We start from the raw sequence: 18,096 nt of genomic DNA, 5'->3' as shown, positions 1-18,096 counted from the left end.
TACTTAGCACATGACAGGGACTCAATGCATTTTTGTTTAGTGAATGAACAAACTAGCCCAAACAATGAAGAAAATAAAACTTACTCTCTTTTCATTAATTTTCTCAAGAACCTGAGAATACCCACATACTTTTTTTTTTTCAGACAGGGTCTCACTCTTTCACCCAGGCTGGAGTGCAGTGTCACAATCTTTGCTCACTGTACTTTCCACTTCCCAGGTTCAAGTGATTCTCATGCCTCAGCCTCTTGAGTCGTTGAGACCACAGGAACATGCCACCATGCCAGGCTAATTTTTGTAGTCTTAGTAGAGACAGGGTTTCACCATGTTGGCCAGGATTGTCTTAAACTCCTGCCTTCAAGTGATTCACTTGCCTCAGCCTCCCAAAATGCTGGGATTACAGGCATGAGCCACTGCGCCCAGCCCCCACACATTTTAAATCAAGCTTTAACAGGAAGAAAAATGCAATCTCAGACAAATTACAATTTCTAAGGACAATAAAAATCTTCACCCACAGACTCCTCTGGCCCTATATCCATCCCTTCCTAGTCTTAATCCAGATTCAATTTAGCAGAAAAAATCTTCCAAGACCCAAGGACCTTTGTTTATGTTTCATTTCCTGAATGTGTCCATGATGACTGAGAAGAACTATTGTAGAACTTGAGTTCCTCTAAGAAGAAAAACTTGGCTGCGTGTGGTGGCTCATGCCTGTAATCCTGGCACTTTGGGAGGCCAAGAGAGGAGGATTCCTAGAATCCAGGAGTTAGAGTCCTGCCTGAGCAACATGGGGAGACCCCATGTCTATAAATACATTTTTTTAAAAATTAGCTGGGTATGGTGGCACGTGCCTGTGGTCTCAGCTTCTTGGGAGGCTGAGACAAGAAGATTGCCTGAGCCCCAGAAGTTGAGCCTGCAGTGAGCCTTGATCATGCAGCTGCACTCCAGCCTGAGCAACAGAGCAAGGCCCAGTCTTGAAAAATAAAAAATTTAAAAGAAAAACACAACTAAATAAAGACAATACATTCAGGTTTTTTTGTTGACGATGATCCTTACTATTTTCAATTCCAATCAACAACTTTTATTAATATTATGGTAAATTGATTACATTCATAGCCCCAATTGGTGGTCTCTCTGTACCCATGATTTTTGCAATATGACATTGTAATTTGTCAAGCGATAAGTATATTTCCCCAGCCCTTGAATCTGGGTTGGTATTGTTTTTTATCTTGACTAATGTAGTGCAGTGGAAATGACATTGAGCCACTTATGAATCTATGCCTCAAGAAGTCTTTCATGCTCCTGTTCTCTCTCGTGGACCTCTCTCAAATGGATGATGTGATAAAAACAAACCCAGGCTGGCCTAATGAAGGACAAGAGACCATGTGGAGGAATGACAAGTTGTCCCAGCCAAGGCCCTAGGCCAGTCAACCCCTTGCCAATCTCCAAGCAGAAATCTGCCAAGATTGGCCCAGATTCACAGGAATGATTTGCTGAGCTAAATAAATGTTTATTGTTTAAATTGGGCTTGGTTTGTTACATGGCAATAACTAACTGGAACAATATTTAAGACAACGTGCTAAGTTTATAAAATAAATTATTACTATTCCCATCCCCTTTGCTCTGCCCTCAAAGATAGACCTAGACAGATGTAGTTTTGAATCCTCTGTCTTTTATCAAGCAGGTGACTTTGGGCAAGTAACGTAAATGGGTTAATCACTCTTTCCTCCGTTTTAGATCCTCAAAGTTGTAGTTGGCACATGGCCACCCACCTACACATGTTTATATGACTGCCTTCTGGCCAATGGACTCTAAATGAAATATCATGTAGTAGAAACCTTACTAAGCAAAGCAGTATGTTTCCTTTGCCCTCTTTCTCTTATCCCTTTCTTTGCTGTTGGCACTGCAGCCAGTGAGCATTTATAAGAGAGAAAGAGCTTCAGTCCCTAAGTACTTTGTAGAGCAGAACTATAAAGCCAGGCCTAGAATGCCTACCTCTGGACTTTTATGTAAGATAATACAATTCATTCTTTTTAAAGACATTATTATTTTAGGTTTCTATTACTTGCAATTGAACCTAATCCTTGCTAACATATAGTAAGCATGCTAGCAAATTTCTTTGCTGGCTTGTTGTAAGCTAGATGATAAGTGCCTGGCATCATTTGTAATGCACAGTGACAATAAATGAATGCAGTTATTACTATTTTTTATTGATAATAATAATAGAAGCAATACCAACATACCTCCCTAGCTAATGTTGAGAGAAAACTGGCAATACTGTTAAAGTCAGCTGAAGTAATGGGCTCCAGTCACAACATTTGCATAATAGCATAGATCTATGAAATGTGTTTCTTGATAATTTTGTCTTAAAGAATTCTTGATTCATCCCTCACTAAAATAAAAATTTTACCTTAATGAAATTTAGGAAACAGATGTCCATTAGATATGTTAGTATAGCAGTCACTTTGTTACAAATTCTAACGCATAAAAGAGTTTTGAGCATGTTCTATATAATTCTCATTTCTTCATAAACATTTCAAAACTCTATGAAGAAAATATAATCTTCATATATATTTGAAAAGCAATGTTATATATTTTAAATGCTATGTTTACTAAGGTAATACAGTTTCTTCACAGAAAATTATACATCAGCCTTAAAATATTTAAAAATTTTATTTTAAATATTGGAAGAAGGAATCGTTTTTAGAGAACAACTACTATTGTGATCCTGCCATTAGCATCTTTGATATTCTCTACTGTGAAGATCATTGAGACTTGGAAAGTCAGCAAAAAGGCATGCGGAACCTCCCTAAGTCTTGAATCCAATTTTTAAGACAATTTTTCCTCAGAAATATGGTGAAACACAGAGAAGTCATTCATAATGAGTTCCTCAAGCAAAAATTCTTTTTAATTATTCTGACATTGGAAAAAGAACTCACAGAGACATACTCTTCACAGTGGATTCCATATAGCATTTAATAGTTATGTGTCATTAGCAAAATAACTGACAGGTCCCAATTTAACTAGAATGGGCCTTTTCCCATTAAGGTGCTTTTTACAATTCATTTGTTCCCAAAGCCTATGATAAAGGCTTTTCTATAAATCCTATGCTGTGAAGATCAATAGAGAGATTTAAAAATGGTTATTAGGGGAAGCTGGTCAGAATATTGCAAGAAAATCTAAACTAATTCAACAAGAAAGTCAAGAAATGGTTTTAAGGTGTAAGTAGACTTGAGATGTTTTTAAGAGAGGAGTAGCAGTCCGCCTAGTGAAACACACAAGGGTATAAGAAGTACAGGTCAAGGCAAGAGTTGAGATAGAGGCTGTGGACAAGTGGCAGGTGGGAGATTAGTTGGGAATAGTAGGACATACTACTGGGAATGCATATCATAGGATGTTATATTGAATTCATTAGGTGATTGGTAACCATTGAAGGGTTTCAAAGAGGAGGATGAAAAAGTCATTGCTGGCTTCACTGGGTGAATTTTACCAAACACTTACAGAAGAATTAACACCAGTTACTCATGAATTCTTCAAAAGAAATTATAAACCAGTATTTCTTATGAATATAGAGATGAAAATCATCAACAGAGAATTAGCAAACCATATCCAGCAACCCATAAAAGGATTATACTCCATGACCAACTAGGATTTAATTCCAGGAATGCAAAGTTGGTTTAACATTCAAAAATGAAATAATGTTATCATATCAATAGAATAAAAAATAACCACATAATCATCTCAATAGATGCAGAAAGAACATTTGAAAAAACCAACTCTTGGCCGGGCATGGTGGCTCACACCTATAATCACAGCACTTTGGGAGGCCAAGGCAGGCAGATCATGAGGTCAGGAGATCAAAACCATCCTGGCTAAAACAGTGAAACCCCATCTCTACTAAAAATACAAAAAAATTAGCCAGGCATGGTGGCTAAATTTTTTAGCTGAGTAGTCCCAGCTACTCAGAAGGCTGAGGCAGGAGAATCGCTTGTACCTGGGAGGTGGAGGTTGCAATGAGCCAAGATTGTTCCACTGCACTCCAGCCTGGGCGACAGAGTGAGACTCTATCTCAAAAAACAACAACAACAAACAAAACAAAACAAAAAACCAAAAAAAACCCCAACTCTCTCTTATGATTAAAAAAAAGTTCAACAAATTAGGAACAGTGGACTTCCTGAACCTGATAAAAACCATCTAGAAAAACCCATAGCTACTATCACACTTAATAGTGAAAGACTGAGTGATTTCACCCAAGATCAACAACAAAAGGAGGACTGGGCACAGTGGATCACACCTGTAATCCCAGAACCTTGGGAGGCTGAGGTGGAAGGATTGCTTAAAGCCAGGGGTTTCAGACCCACCTGGGCAACATAGTGAGACTCCTTTCTATAAAAAATTAAAAAATTAAAAGTAGCTGGGTATGGTCACACACACCTGTAGTCCTAGCTATTCGGGAGACTCTGGCAAGAAGATCAATTGAACCCCGGAGTTTGAGGATGTAGTGAGCTATGATCACACTCCTGCACTCCAGCCTGGGCAACAGAAAAAGACTCTAGTCCTTAAAAAACAAAGAGAAGGATGTCCATTCTAACTAGCTCTATTCAACATTGTATGGGGGTTCTAGCCAGAGCAATTAGGCAAAAGAAAGAAATAAAAGAAATCTCAATTGGAAAGGAAGAAGGAAAGCTATCACTATTTGGAGATGACATGATCTCATATACAAAAAAAACCATTAGAATGAATAAATGAGTTCAGCAAGGTTGCTGAATACAAGATTAATATGCAAAATCAATTGTATTTCTATACACTTTCACTGAACAATCCAAATATGAAATTAAGAATGTGATCCTACTTACAATAGCATCAAAAAGAATAAAATTTTTAGGAATAAATTTAACAAAAGAAGTGCAAAACTTTTACCTAGAAACTACAAAAATCGTTGAAAGAAGTTAAAAAGATCTAAATAAATGGGAACACATTCCACGTTCATGGATCAGAAGATTTAATTTTGTTATAATGGCAATACTCACTAAATTGACCTGTGAATTCCATGCAATCCATATCAAAATCCCAGCTGGCTTCTTTGTAGAAATTGACAAGCTGATTCTAAAATTCACATGGAAATTCCAAGGATCCAGAATAGCCAAAACAATTTTCAAAAAGAACACTGTAACCCTTGCACTTGGGGAGGCTGAGGTACGAGGATTGATTGGGGACAGGAGTTGGAGACTAGCCTCAGCAATATAGTAAGACCCCCATCTCTAAAAAATGTTTAAAAAATTATCCAGGTGAAGAGGCATGCACCTATAGTTCTAGCTGCTAGGGAGGGTGAGGCAGGAGGGTCACTTGAGCCCAGGAGTTTGAGGCTTCGGTGAGCCGTGATCATGACACTGCACTCCGTTCTGGGTGACAGAGTGAGACCTGTCTCTAAAAAAAAGAAAAAGAAGATCAAAGTTGGAGGGTTCATATTTCCCAATTTCAAAACCTACTATAAAGCTACAAGTAATCAAGACAGTATGGTATTGGCATAAGGATAGACCTACAGATCAATGAAATAAAATTAAGAATCCAGAAATAAACCCTCGCATTTAGAGTAAATTGCTTTTTGACAGCGTTGCCAAAACAATTCAATAGAGGAAAGAATAATATTTTCAACAAATGGTGCTGAGACAACTGGATATCCACGTGCAAAAGTATGAAGTTCGACCACTATCTTATACCATACACAAAAACTAACTTAATGGAGCAAAGATTTCAGTGGAAGAGCTAAAACTATAAACTCTTAGAAGAAAATGTAGGCGTAAGTCTTCCTAATCTTTATTTGGCAGTGATTTCTTAGATATAACAACAAAGCACAAGCAATCAAAGAAAAAAATAGATAAATTGGATTTCCTCAGAATTAAAAACTTCTATGCTTCAAAGGACACCAGCAAGAAAGTGAAAGGACAAACAACAGAATGAGAAAAAATATTTGCAAATCATATATCTAATAAGGGACTTTTTATCTAGATTACATGATATTCTAGTCAATAGCAAAATACAAATTACCTGATTTAAAAATGGGCATGGAATCTAAATAGATATATCTCCAAAGAAGATAAACAGATGACCAATAGCACATGAAAATATGCTCAACACCAATAGTCACCAGGGAAATGTAAATCAAAACCAAAAGAGATACCACTTTACATCCACTAGTTCGGCTATAATAGAAAGGACAGACAATAACAAGTGTTGCCAAGAATGTGAAAAATTGGAACACTTCTGCACCACTGGTAGGAATATAAAATAGTGCAGCCATTTTGGAAAACAGTCTGACAGTTCCTCAAAAAGTTAAACGTTAGAGTTACCACATGACCTGGCAATTCCACTCCTAGGTGTACACTCAGGAGAACAAAGTAGATACCTGATAAACACATGAAAAGGTATGTCCACACAAAAACTAGCAAATGAATGATCATAGCAGCAGTATTCATAATAGTCAAAAGGTAGAAAAAGCCAAATGTTCATCAACTGATTAATGGGTACACAAAATGTGGTGTGATCATAGAATGAAATTTTATTTAGCCATAAAAACAATGAAGTACAGACACATGCTATATCTTGGATGACCCTTGAAAACATTTGGTAATGGAAAGAAGCCAGTCACAAAAGACCACATAGCACATAATTCCATTTATCTGAAATGTTCAGAAAAGGGAAATCTAGAGAGACAAAAAGCAGATGTGTGGTTGCCTAGGGCTGGGTGGGGAAATGGGGAGATTGGGAGGTCATGGTTAAAGAGTACACATGATGAAAATGTTCTAAAATTGATTGTGGTGATGATTGCACAACTCTGTGAACATACTAAAAACAATTGAATTGTTAAAAAAAAAATCAATACTATGCTTTAGGGGAATCTCTTTGACTGGCGTGCAAAGAAACAGAAGGCATGAAGACCAATTAGGAGGTTTTTAATCTTGACTCTTAGAGAGAAAGCATCTCATCTCCAGGTCTTCTTTTCCTTCAATCTCCACACCCATTCCCTTTAAATATAATTAAAACACAGTTATGAAATCCATGCTTGATAAATTGGTAAATAAGCTATGGGATGGGGCTAGGAAAAAGGGGGTCATAAAAGGGAGCTCTTAACTCTATAGTGATCATTTTATTATTTAAGTAACCAAGGGCAAAAGATACTTCTCAATTGTTTACATAAAAGTCACAAATTTAAATTTAGGTTCTGAGCAAGACATGTTAAGCTCACGTAGAGCCTCAGACTAAATGGTGAATGAGTTTTTGTTTTGTGCCTGGCACATAGTAGGTCCTCAGTGTTTTTCAAAATAAATTAAATGAATGAATTTTAAGAGTAAACATAAACTTTATAATGCGTTATATAAATATGACCAAGAAAGGCACTGTGAGATGAAAAAACAACACATAATCTTAAACTGGTGAAGGAGAAGAAGGAAAGAATGAGGAGAAAGGAAAACTCGTAATTCAACAAGACAGCAAGCCACTAAAATGTGTAAGAAGTCTCTTTCATTCCCTTCAGGAAAAAAAAATTGATGAAGAAAAAGGTTATAAATTTATAAAGAAGAGTGAGGATATTGTACCTAAAGAATACAAAAGGATGAAAAATCAATAAAGGCAATTCATCACATTAGCAGGCTAAAGAAGAAAAATCATATGATTATATTAATAATGCAGAAAAAGCATTTGACCAAACCTAACATCCATTTATGATTAAAGACTCTCAGCAAACTAAGAATAGAGGGGAATTTCCTCAACTTGGTAAAAAATGAAAAAGGAAATTAACAAACCAGAAACCAAACCTTTTAAGGATGCAGAGGGGAAAAGAAATTGCTACTCATCCAAAAATTTGCTAAATAAAAAGTACAGTAGAGGAAAAAGAGATTAAGGAAAAGAATAAGGAAGTAAAACAAAACAGAAATAAGCTATCTTCAGTATCTAAAATGGAAAGTAAGAGTTAGACATCAGAAACTACCCAGGCACAGTCTTATTCTCCCAGACCAGTTTTGGCCAGAGAGATCTGGTTTCTCCTATTTAGAGAGCTCTTGTTCTCTGTCCTAAAAAATAATTAGGAAGTTGAAAAGAAATAAACGAGATTCAGGGATTACTAAATGCCATCTCACAAGAATGATGATTAAAATATCATGATTAAGAATCAAGGACCTTTAGCCCCTTTGAGTGCTGATTACAAAGTGATTAGTAGGGATTACTGTGAGATTAACAATGTTTGCAAGGAAGATGATTTGATTCATTCCAGGCGTTAAGGGACAGGGGTGGCAGATGGTTTCGTTATACCAAGAGAAACTGTAAAACACACAGACTAAAAGGCAATCATCTTTTTATTCTATTTCCTTTGAAAAGAGGGGAGGGAGAGACTCTTGACGGGTGAGGATATGTTGTTTAAAGTTGTATAGACTGTGTCATATTTTTTCCAATTTGTCAAGAGTGCGAAAATGAAATGATTAGTTTCTGCCTGGGAAGAATGAAGAGATCCAGATAAAGAAAACATTAAGTCCTAGGTGCCCATTTTGTCCTTTACATATTAATTAAAAGCCCTTTGATGGGAATTTATGGTGTGAACTAAACTGCTTGGTTTACTATTTAGACAGCTGTGAAAGGAAATAAAATAGTTTAGATGTTTAAACTAGTACTTGCATATGCAGATGACATGTCAATGATTGTATCAACTGATGAGTCTGTAAAAAACATCTCTTGAATGTTTGAAGCATATGTTGTAAAGCAGCTGGTTCTAAAATAAGTTTAAGAGTAGCTATTTGCTTAATAGAACTGACAAATAGGAACAGGTGATGGTCTTGGAAGAACCCATTGTTTAAAAATGAACCAGTTGGGAGCTTAAGAGGGTTTTTGGAGAGTCAAAACAATGAAAAAAATCAAAGAAGAGAATAGATGTAGCAGATAAGTTAGTGTCTCTCTAGCCGATTTGGAAGTTATTTTATTGTAGTGAATATGTTGTTAATCAAAAAAGTTTCTCATTGCCTTGAGCCATATGGAAGTGATTTACCATGTTTTTCTTGCTGTCCATTTGCAAAGTTATGTTTGAGGGAGCTGGCAAAGTGCCCTTCTAAAAAACACTATCTTTACAAAGTTACCTTAATGAGCTGATTGAAGACAAGATTCTTTGCATGGCAACCATGAGAGAAGAGGTTGTCTTAACTTGTAAGAAGAATCCATATAAGAAAGAACTTGACCAAAAAAAGAAAAAAAACACTCTTTCTCAAATAATTTTGTTATTCTGAGACATGCTTAGGAAGCACGTACACTAAATACACTGACTGCATAGAATTATCTACAGAAGGGCCTTTCCAGTCAGTACAGTTTGTAAGCATTATTTTCTAATCTTTTAAAAACTTTTACTATGATGAAGAGACTTACTGATATGGAATGGTTAAGAGGCTACTAAATCCTCTCTTTAGGCAAAATGATGAAAGGGAAAGAGGCAGAGTGAGAGTCAAGGGACTGGGTTTCCAGGAAGAAGTCCACCACCAGTTGTCACTCACTCTTCTCCTACTTTGTTTTCTTCACCTGAAAAAAATATTAATAATAACTGATGTTTATAAAATGCTTATGTCCGGGCATGGTGGCTGATGCCTGTAATCTCAGCACACTGAGAGGCGGAGGCATGAGGATTGCTTGAGTACATTTCAAGACCAGCCTGGGCAAGCAACATAGGGAGACCCCATCTCTACAAAAACAAAAAAAATAAAATGCTTACTAGTGGTCAGGCACTGTTTACACATTTTATATAAGTGTATTAGTTCGTTTTCATGCTGCTGATAAAGATATACTGGAAACAGGGAACAAAGAGAGGTTTAATTGGACTTACAGTTCCACATGGCTGGGGAAGCCTCAGAATCATGGTGGAGGGCAAAAGGCACTTCTTACATGGCAGCAGCAAGAGAAAATGAGGAAGAAGCAAAAGCAGAAACCCCTGATAAACCTATCAGATCTCATGAGACTTATTCACTATCGTGAGACTAGCATGGGAAAGACTGGCCCCCATGATTCAATTATCTCCCCGGGGTCCCTCCCACAGCACGTGGGAATTCTGGGAGATACAATTCAAGTTGAAATTTAAATGGGGACATAGCCAAACCATATCATCCTACCCCTGGCCCCTCCAAATCTCATGTCCTAACATTTCAAAACCAATCATGCCTTCCCAACAGTCCCCCAAATCCTTAACTAATTTCAGCATTAACCCAAAAGTCCACAGTCCAAAGTCTCACCTGAGACAAGGCCAGTCCCTTCCACCTATGAGCCTGTAAAATCAAAAACAAGCTAGTTACTTCCTAGATACAATGGGAGTACAGGTATTGGGTAAATACAGCCATTCCAAATGGGAGAAATTTGCCAAAGCAAAGGGGTTACAGGTGCCATGGAAGTCCAAAATCCAGCAGGGCAGTCAAACTTAAAACTCCAAAATAATCTCCTTTGACTCTAGGTCTCATATCCAGGTCACACTGATGCAAGAGGTGGGTTCCCATGGTCTTGGGCAGCTCCACCCCTGTGGCTTTGCAGGGTACAGCCTCCCTCCTGGCCGCTTTTGTGGGCTGGCATTGAGTGTCTGCAGCTTTTCCAGGCACATGGTGCAAGCTGTCAGTAGATCTACCATTCTGGGGTCTGGAGGACGGTGGCCCTTGTCTCACAGTTCCACTAGGCAGTGCCTCAGTAGGGACTCTGTGTGGAGGCTCTGACCCCACATTTCCCTTCTGCACTGCCCTAGCAGAGGTTCTCCATGAGGGCCCCACCCCTGCAGAAAACTTTTGCCTGGGCATCTGGGCATTTCCGTACATCTTCTGAAATCTAGGCAGAGGTTCCCAAACCTCAATTCTTGACTTCTGTGCACATGCAGGCTCAACACTACATGGAAGCTGCCAAGGCTTGGGGCTTCTACCCTCTGAAGCCACAGCCTGAACTGTACATTGGCCCCTTTCAGCCATGGCTGGAGTGGCTGGGACACAGGGCGCCAAGTCCCTAGGCTGCACATAGCACGGGGACCCTGAGCCCAGCCCACGAGACCACTTTTTCCTCCTGGGCCTCCAGGCCTGTGATGGGAGGGGCTGCCATGAAGGTCTCTGACATGGCCTGGAGACATTTTCCCCATGGTCTTGGGGATTAACGTTAGGCTTCTTGCTACTTATGCACATTTCTGTAACCGGCTTGAATTTCTCCCCAGAAAATGGGTTTTTGTTTTCTATTGCATAGTCAGGCTGCAAATTTTCCAAACGTTTATGCTCTGCTTCCCTTATAAAACTGAAGGCCTTTAAAATAACCCAAGTCACCTCTTGAATACTTTGCTGCTTAGAAATTTCTTCTGCCAGATACCCTAAATCATCTGTCTCAAGTTCAAATTTCTACAAATTTCTAGGGCAAGGGCAAAATGCCTCCAGTCTCTTTGCTAAAACATAACAAGAGTCACTTTGCTCCAGTTCCCAACAAGTTCCTCATTTCCCTCTGAGACCACCTCTGCCTGGACCTTATTGTCCATGTCACTATCAGCATTTTGGTCAAAGCCAATCAACAAATATCTAGGAAGTTCCAAACTTCCCCACATTTTCCTGTCTTCTTCTGAGCCCTCCAAACTCTTACAACTTCTGCCTGTTACCCAGTTCCAAAGTCGCTTCCACATTTTTGGGTATCTTTTCAGCAATGCCCCACTCTATTGGTACCAATTTACTGTATTAGTTGGTTTTCACACTGCTGATTACGAATACTTGAAACTGGGAACAAAAAGAGGTTTAATTGGACTTACAGTTCCACATGGCTGAGGAGGCCTCAGAATCATGGCGGAAGGCGAAAGGCATTTCTTACATGGTGGCAGCAAGAGAAAATGAGGAAGAAGCAAAAGCGGAAATGCCTGATAAACCCATAAGATCTGGTGAGACTTATGTACTATCACGAGAATGGCATGGGAAAGACCAGCCCCCATGGTTCAATCACCTCCATCTAGGTTCCTCCCACAACACATGGGAATTCTGGGAGATATAATTCAAGTTGAGATTTCAATGGGAACACAGCCAAACCGTGTCAATAAGTTATTTCATCTCCCAACAGCACTGTGGTGAATACAATAATCATCATTTTACAGATAAGTAAACTGAATGGAGATAATAGAATACTTCAAACCTCTCATGAGAATGCATTATAAAAATTTAAGGGTTTTTCCAAACACTGCATGTTCTCACTCATAGGTAGGAATTGAACAAGGAGAACACATAGACACCGGAAGGGGAACGTCACACACCGGGGCCTGTGGTGGGGTGGGGGGAGGGGGGAGGGATAGAATTAGGAGATATACCTAATGTTAAATGACAAGTTAATGGGTGCAGCACACCAACATGGCACATGTATACATATGTAACAAATCTGCATGTTGTGCACATGTACCCTAAAACTTAAAGTATAATAATAAAAAATAAATAAATAAATAAAAATTTAAGGGTTTTTTGATCTTAAAAATAATATTTAATCTCAACTGCAGAGTAGTTAGGCATAGCCCAGACTAAGAAAGGTGGACATAGAATAAAAGTTTCCCTCTATACCAACCCATGATAAAAAAGCTTAGCAAGCTAGGAATAGAAGAATATGGGGTTTTCGTTGTTGTTGTTAATTTTTAAAATTAAAAAAAAGAGAGAGAGAGACGAGGTTTCGCCATGTTACCCAGGCTGGTCTTTATAATAAGTCCTGGGATCAAGGGATCTTGGGTCTCCTGGGATCAAGGGATCCTCCCACCTCGACCTCCCAAAGTGCTGAGTTCTGATATCTAGGCAGAGGTTCCCAAACCAAATAAAGTTAGCCAGGCATGGTGGCATAAACCTGTAGTGCCAGCTACTTGGTAGGCTGAGGTGAGAGAATCGTTTGTGCCTGGGAAGTCAAGGCTACAGTGAGCCATGATCTCACCGCTGTACTCCAGCCTAGGTGACAGAGTGAGACTGCCTAAAAAAAGAAAAAGAAAAAGAAAAAGAAAACTACAAAACTGTATTGAAAGAAAACTGTGGTGGAATTCAAAATGCAATGTTTGTAGATTAGATGATGTGATATTGTAAAAATGTCAATCTTCCCAAATTAGTCTAGAGATTTACCATAAATCCAATACACATCTCAGCAAGTTCTTTTAAAAAATAAAAAACTGATTAGCAGGGCACAGATATTCACACCTGTAATCCCCACACTTTGAGAGGCCAGGCAGGAGGATCGCTTGAGCCCAGGAGTTTGAGACTAGCCTGGGCAACATGGTGAAACCCTGTATCTACAAAAAATACAAAAAAAAAATTAGCCAGGTCTGTTGGTGGGCACCAATAGTCCCAGCTACTTGGGAGGCTGAGGTGGAAGGATCACTTGAACCTCAGAGGTTAAGGGTGTAGTAAGTCACGATTGCACTACTGCACTCCAGCCTAGGTGACAGAGCAAGATTCTGTTTCAAAAAAAGGAAGGAACGAAGGAAGGGAGGGAGGGAGGGAGGGAAGGAGGAAGGGAGGGGAGGGGAGGGCAGGGGAGGGGAGGGGACGGGAGGGAAACTGATTAGCTGATTCTAAAATTTATGTGGAAGTTCAGTGGACCAAGAATAGTCAAGACAATGGTGAAGAAGAGCAAAGTTGAAGGACTTATTATAAAACTAATATAATTGAGACATATTATTAATACAGAGATGGACAAATAGACCAATGGAACAGAATATATAGTTCAGAAATAGAACCACTATAGTGCCATGAGGGAAAGAATGGTCTTTTCAAATGCAGCTGGGTTCACCAATATCCATATTGTATGAAAATAAAATTTGAAACTTATCTCTCACCACACACAAAATTAACACTAGATGAATTTTAATCCTAAATATAAAACAATAACACATCTAGAAAGAAGACATAAAAAATATTCTTGTGAGTTTGAGGCAGGCAGTGATTTCTTAAACAGGACATAAGAAGCATTAACCATAAAAGTAAAGATTGATAAATTGAACTACATTGAAATAAAAACCAGTGTTCATCAAAAGGCATTAATAGTTCCAAGACTAAGAGACAAAACAAGAAACAAAACAAGAGTGAAAAGGCTACAATGCCAAAAAAAAGTGAAAAAGAAAGCTACCAAGTAGAAAAAGATATTTGTAATACCTATATATAACAAATGAATCATAACTATCGTATATGAAACATTTCTACAAATTAATAGAAAAGAAGCAGACAACCCAATAGAAAAATGGGCAAAAGACTTAAATTGGCATTTCATAAAAGAGGACACTCAAAAAAAATCATCAATCATATGACAGGCTGCTCGACTTTATTAATCACCAGGACAATGCCAATTAAAACCAAAATGCAAATTTGAATCACTGTACCCCACCAGAATAGCTAACATTAATAATAAGACCACAATATCAAATTTAGGCAAGAATGCAAAGCAATTTGGACTCTCAGACACTGTTGGTGGAAGCGCACATTTGTAACAATGTTGGAAAAGTGTTTGATAATATCTACTGAAGTTGAACTTACCCAAACCCTCTATTTTTTATGTATAGCCAAGAGATGCTTATATGTACACCAAAAGTCATGTACAAGTGTTTATAACAGGACTATTCAAGATAGCTCAAAACTCAAAACAACTCAAATGCCCATCAATATTTCACAAATAGGGCCTGGCTACAGTGGCTCATGCTTATAATCCCAACACTGTGGGAGGCTGAGGCAGGTGAATCATGGGAGCTTAGAAGTTTGAGACCAGTCTGGGCAACACGGTGAAACCTCATCTCCACAAAAAATACAAAAATTAGCCAGGTGTGGTGGTGCACACCTGTGGTCCCAGCTATTCAGGAGGCTGACGTGAGAGGATCGCTGGAGCCCGGGAAGTCAAGGCTGCAGTGAGCCATGATCATGCCACTACACTCCAGCCTAGGTGACAGAGTGAGACCCTGTCTCAAAAAACAAAAATTCACTTGTTGCTCCATAGGTCCATGTAAGTTTATGAACAGGAATAAAGAAAAGAATATGAATAGAATCAATTGTTCTTCAAGCAATTCTTGCAGGACCTTCCTGAAATGTTGATCATTTCTGGGCTCATTGTCAGCACTGGGGTAGATAAAAAGCTACTGTGGGTTTGAATTTTTTTAAAAAATAAAGAAGACATTCATGCAGCCAAAAGACACATGAAAAAATGCTCACCATCCCTGGCCATCAGAGAAATGCAAATCAAAACCACAATGAGATACCATCTTACACCAGTTAGAATGGCGATCATTAAAAAGTCAGGAAACAACAGGTGCTGGAGAGGATGTGGAGAAATAGGAACACTTTTACACTGTTGCTGGGACTGTAAACTAGTTCAGCCATTGTGGAAGTCAGTGTGGCGATTCCTCAGGGATCTAGAATTAGAAATACCATTTGACCCAGCCATCCCATTGCTGGGTACATACCCAAAGGATTATAAATCATGCTGCTATAAAGACACATGCACACGTATATTTATTGCGGCACTATTCACAATAGCAAAGATTTGGAACCAACCCAAATGTCCAACAATGATAGACTGGATTAAGAAAATGTGGCACATATACGCCATGGAATACTATGCAGCCATAAAAAATGATGAGTTCACGTCCTTTATAGGGACATGGATGAAGCTGGAAACCATCATTCTCAGCAAGCTATTGCAAGAACAAAAAACCAAACACTGCATGTTCTCACTCATAGGTGGGAATTGAACAATGAGAACACATGGACACAGGAAGGGGAACATCACACACCGGGGCCTATTGTGGGGTGGGGGGCGGGGGGAGGGATAGCATTAGGAGATATACCTAATGTTAAATGACAAGTTAATGGGTGCAGCACACCAACATGGCACATGTATACATATGTAACTAGCCTGCACGTTGTGCACATGTACCCTAAAACTTAAAGTATAATAAAAAAAAATTAACAGCATAAGATCAGAACTTTCGGCTGGGCATGGTGGCTCATGCCTGTAATCTCAGCACTTTGGGAGGCCAAGGAGCGTGGATCACTTGAGGTCAGGAGGAGTTCAAGATCAGCCTGGCCAACATGGTGAAACCCCGTCTCTACCAAAAATGCAAAAATTAGCCAGGTGTGGTGGCACGTGCCTGTAATCCCACCTACTCAGGAGGCTGAGGCAAGAGAATCATTTGAACCCAGGAGGTGGAGGTTGCAGTGAGCCAAGATTGCGCCACTGCACTCCAGCCTGGGCAACAGAGCAAGACTCTGTCTAAAAAAAAAACTAAACTTTTTTTTTACTACTATGATAAAAAATAGTGTTGATTGTTGATATTACTGGGAAAACGTATTGTCATTTCTACTCTTTCTTGCTCTGAGTATTATAAGTAATTATCCCTTTTCAAATTTATTCCCAGTTAGTGCCTATCTTCAAATTTCTAATGCTCCTAAGTCTCATGTATTTATTGAACTTTCTATGTGTTACTTTATTTTCTTTCCTCTTAATCAACAACTCTGACTGGTAAGTAGTAAGGTTCAACCTCAAATAGCTGGTGTAAATTGCCAGGATACCAGGCTACTAAAAACAGCAAACTGCAGTTAAATTCTCTTTCTTCTTTGTCATTTAAGAAAAGTTGAGCCCTTTCCACTCAGCTGTTTTCTTGCACAGGAGGGCCATAGTCAGCCATGGAGCCCAGCAGGAAAGGCATGATCTTCAAGTCCCACTTCAACAAGCACTGGCAGTGGTGTGTGGCTACATGGTTCAACCACGTCTGGACCCATCCAGCCCATAGTAAGGTGCTGCATGGTGAGGTATCACACCAAAGTACACGCTGGCCAGGGCTTCAGCATGGAGGAGTTAAGGGTGGTTGGTATTCACAAGAAGGTGGCACAGAACACTGACATCTCTGTGGATCCGAGAAGGCAAAACAAGTCCACCGAGTCCCTGCAAGCCAATGTGCAGTGCTGATGGAGTGCCACTCCAAACTCATCCTCTTCCCCAGGAAGCCCTTGGCCCCCAAGAAGGGAGACAGTTCTGCTGAAGAACTGAAATTGCCCCAGTAGCTGACAGGACTACTTATGCCTGTCCAGAATGTCTATAAGAAGGAGAAAGCCCGAGGCATCACTGAGGAAGGGAAGAACTCCAAGGCCTTTGCTAGTCTCCACGTGGCCTGCACAAATGCCCAGCTCTTCTGCATATGGGTAAAAAGAACCAAGGAAGCTGAAGAACAGGATATTGAAAAAAAATAAAGATAAAGCCCTGGGGACTTGTAATAAATCAACAGTAAAAAATAAAAAGGAAAAAAATAAAAGAAAAAATGAAAAATTGAGCCAAGTGTGGAGGCTCACGCCTGTAATCCCAGCACTTTGGGAGGGCGATCACTTGAGGTCAGGAGTTCAAAACCAGCCTGGCCAACATGGCAAAACCCCATCTCTACTAAAAATACAAAAATTAGCCAGGCATGGTGGTACATGCTTGTAATCCAAGCTACTCGGGAGGCTGAGGCAGGAGAATCGCTTGAACCTGGGAGGTGGAGGTTGCAGTGAGCCAAGATCACGTAACTACACTCTAGCCTGGCCAACAGAGTGAGACTCTGTCTCAAAACAGAAAAGGCAAAATAAAATAAATAATTAAAAATTATCTGAGCACGGTGGTGTGCACCTGTAGTCCTTGCAACTAAGGAGGATGACATGGGAGGGTGGCATGAGCCCAGGACTACACCACTGCACTTGAGCCTGGGTGACAGAGTGAGACCCTGTCTCTAAAATGAAGAAAAGAAAAGAGAAGAAGAAAAGAAAAGAAGAAAAGAAAGAAAAGAAAAGAAAGAAGGAAGGAGGGAAGGAGAAAAGAAAGAGAAAAATAAAGAGGGAGGAAGGGGAAGGGAGGGAGGGAGGGAAAAAGAAAAAGAAAGAAGAAGGGAAGAGAAAGAAAGAAAAGTTGAAAAGTTCAGGGTAGCATCCAAATGTACTCTACTGTTGAAGCTTAACACAAATGGTGGAAAGGAAAAGCTGATTAATACTCTTCTAAACCAAAGTCCTTAGGACAATATTCAAAAACTTTATTCCTTTCAATAATCAAGGCAAAAGCAGAAGAGCAATCATGAATTGCAAGTTAAACTGGAACCTT

General features: G+C 39.3%; 1 pseudogene; it reads left to right on the top strand.

Moving 5' to 3' along the window:
- On the top strand, positions 16,611-17,255 carry RPL13P11 (ribosomal protein L13 pseudogene 11; annotated as a pseudogene).

The sequence above is a fragment of the Homo sapiens genome, chromosome 8 (assembly GCF_000001405.40).
Source record: "Homo sapiens chromosome 8, GRCh38.p14 Primary Assembly".
NCBI classification, from domain to species: Eukaryota; Metazoa; Chordata; class Mammalia; order Primates; family Hominidae; genus Homo; species Homo sapiens.
The sequence above is the reverse complement of the archived record's forward strand: the minus strand, read 5'-3'. Positions and strand labels throughout refer to the sequence as shown.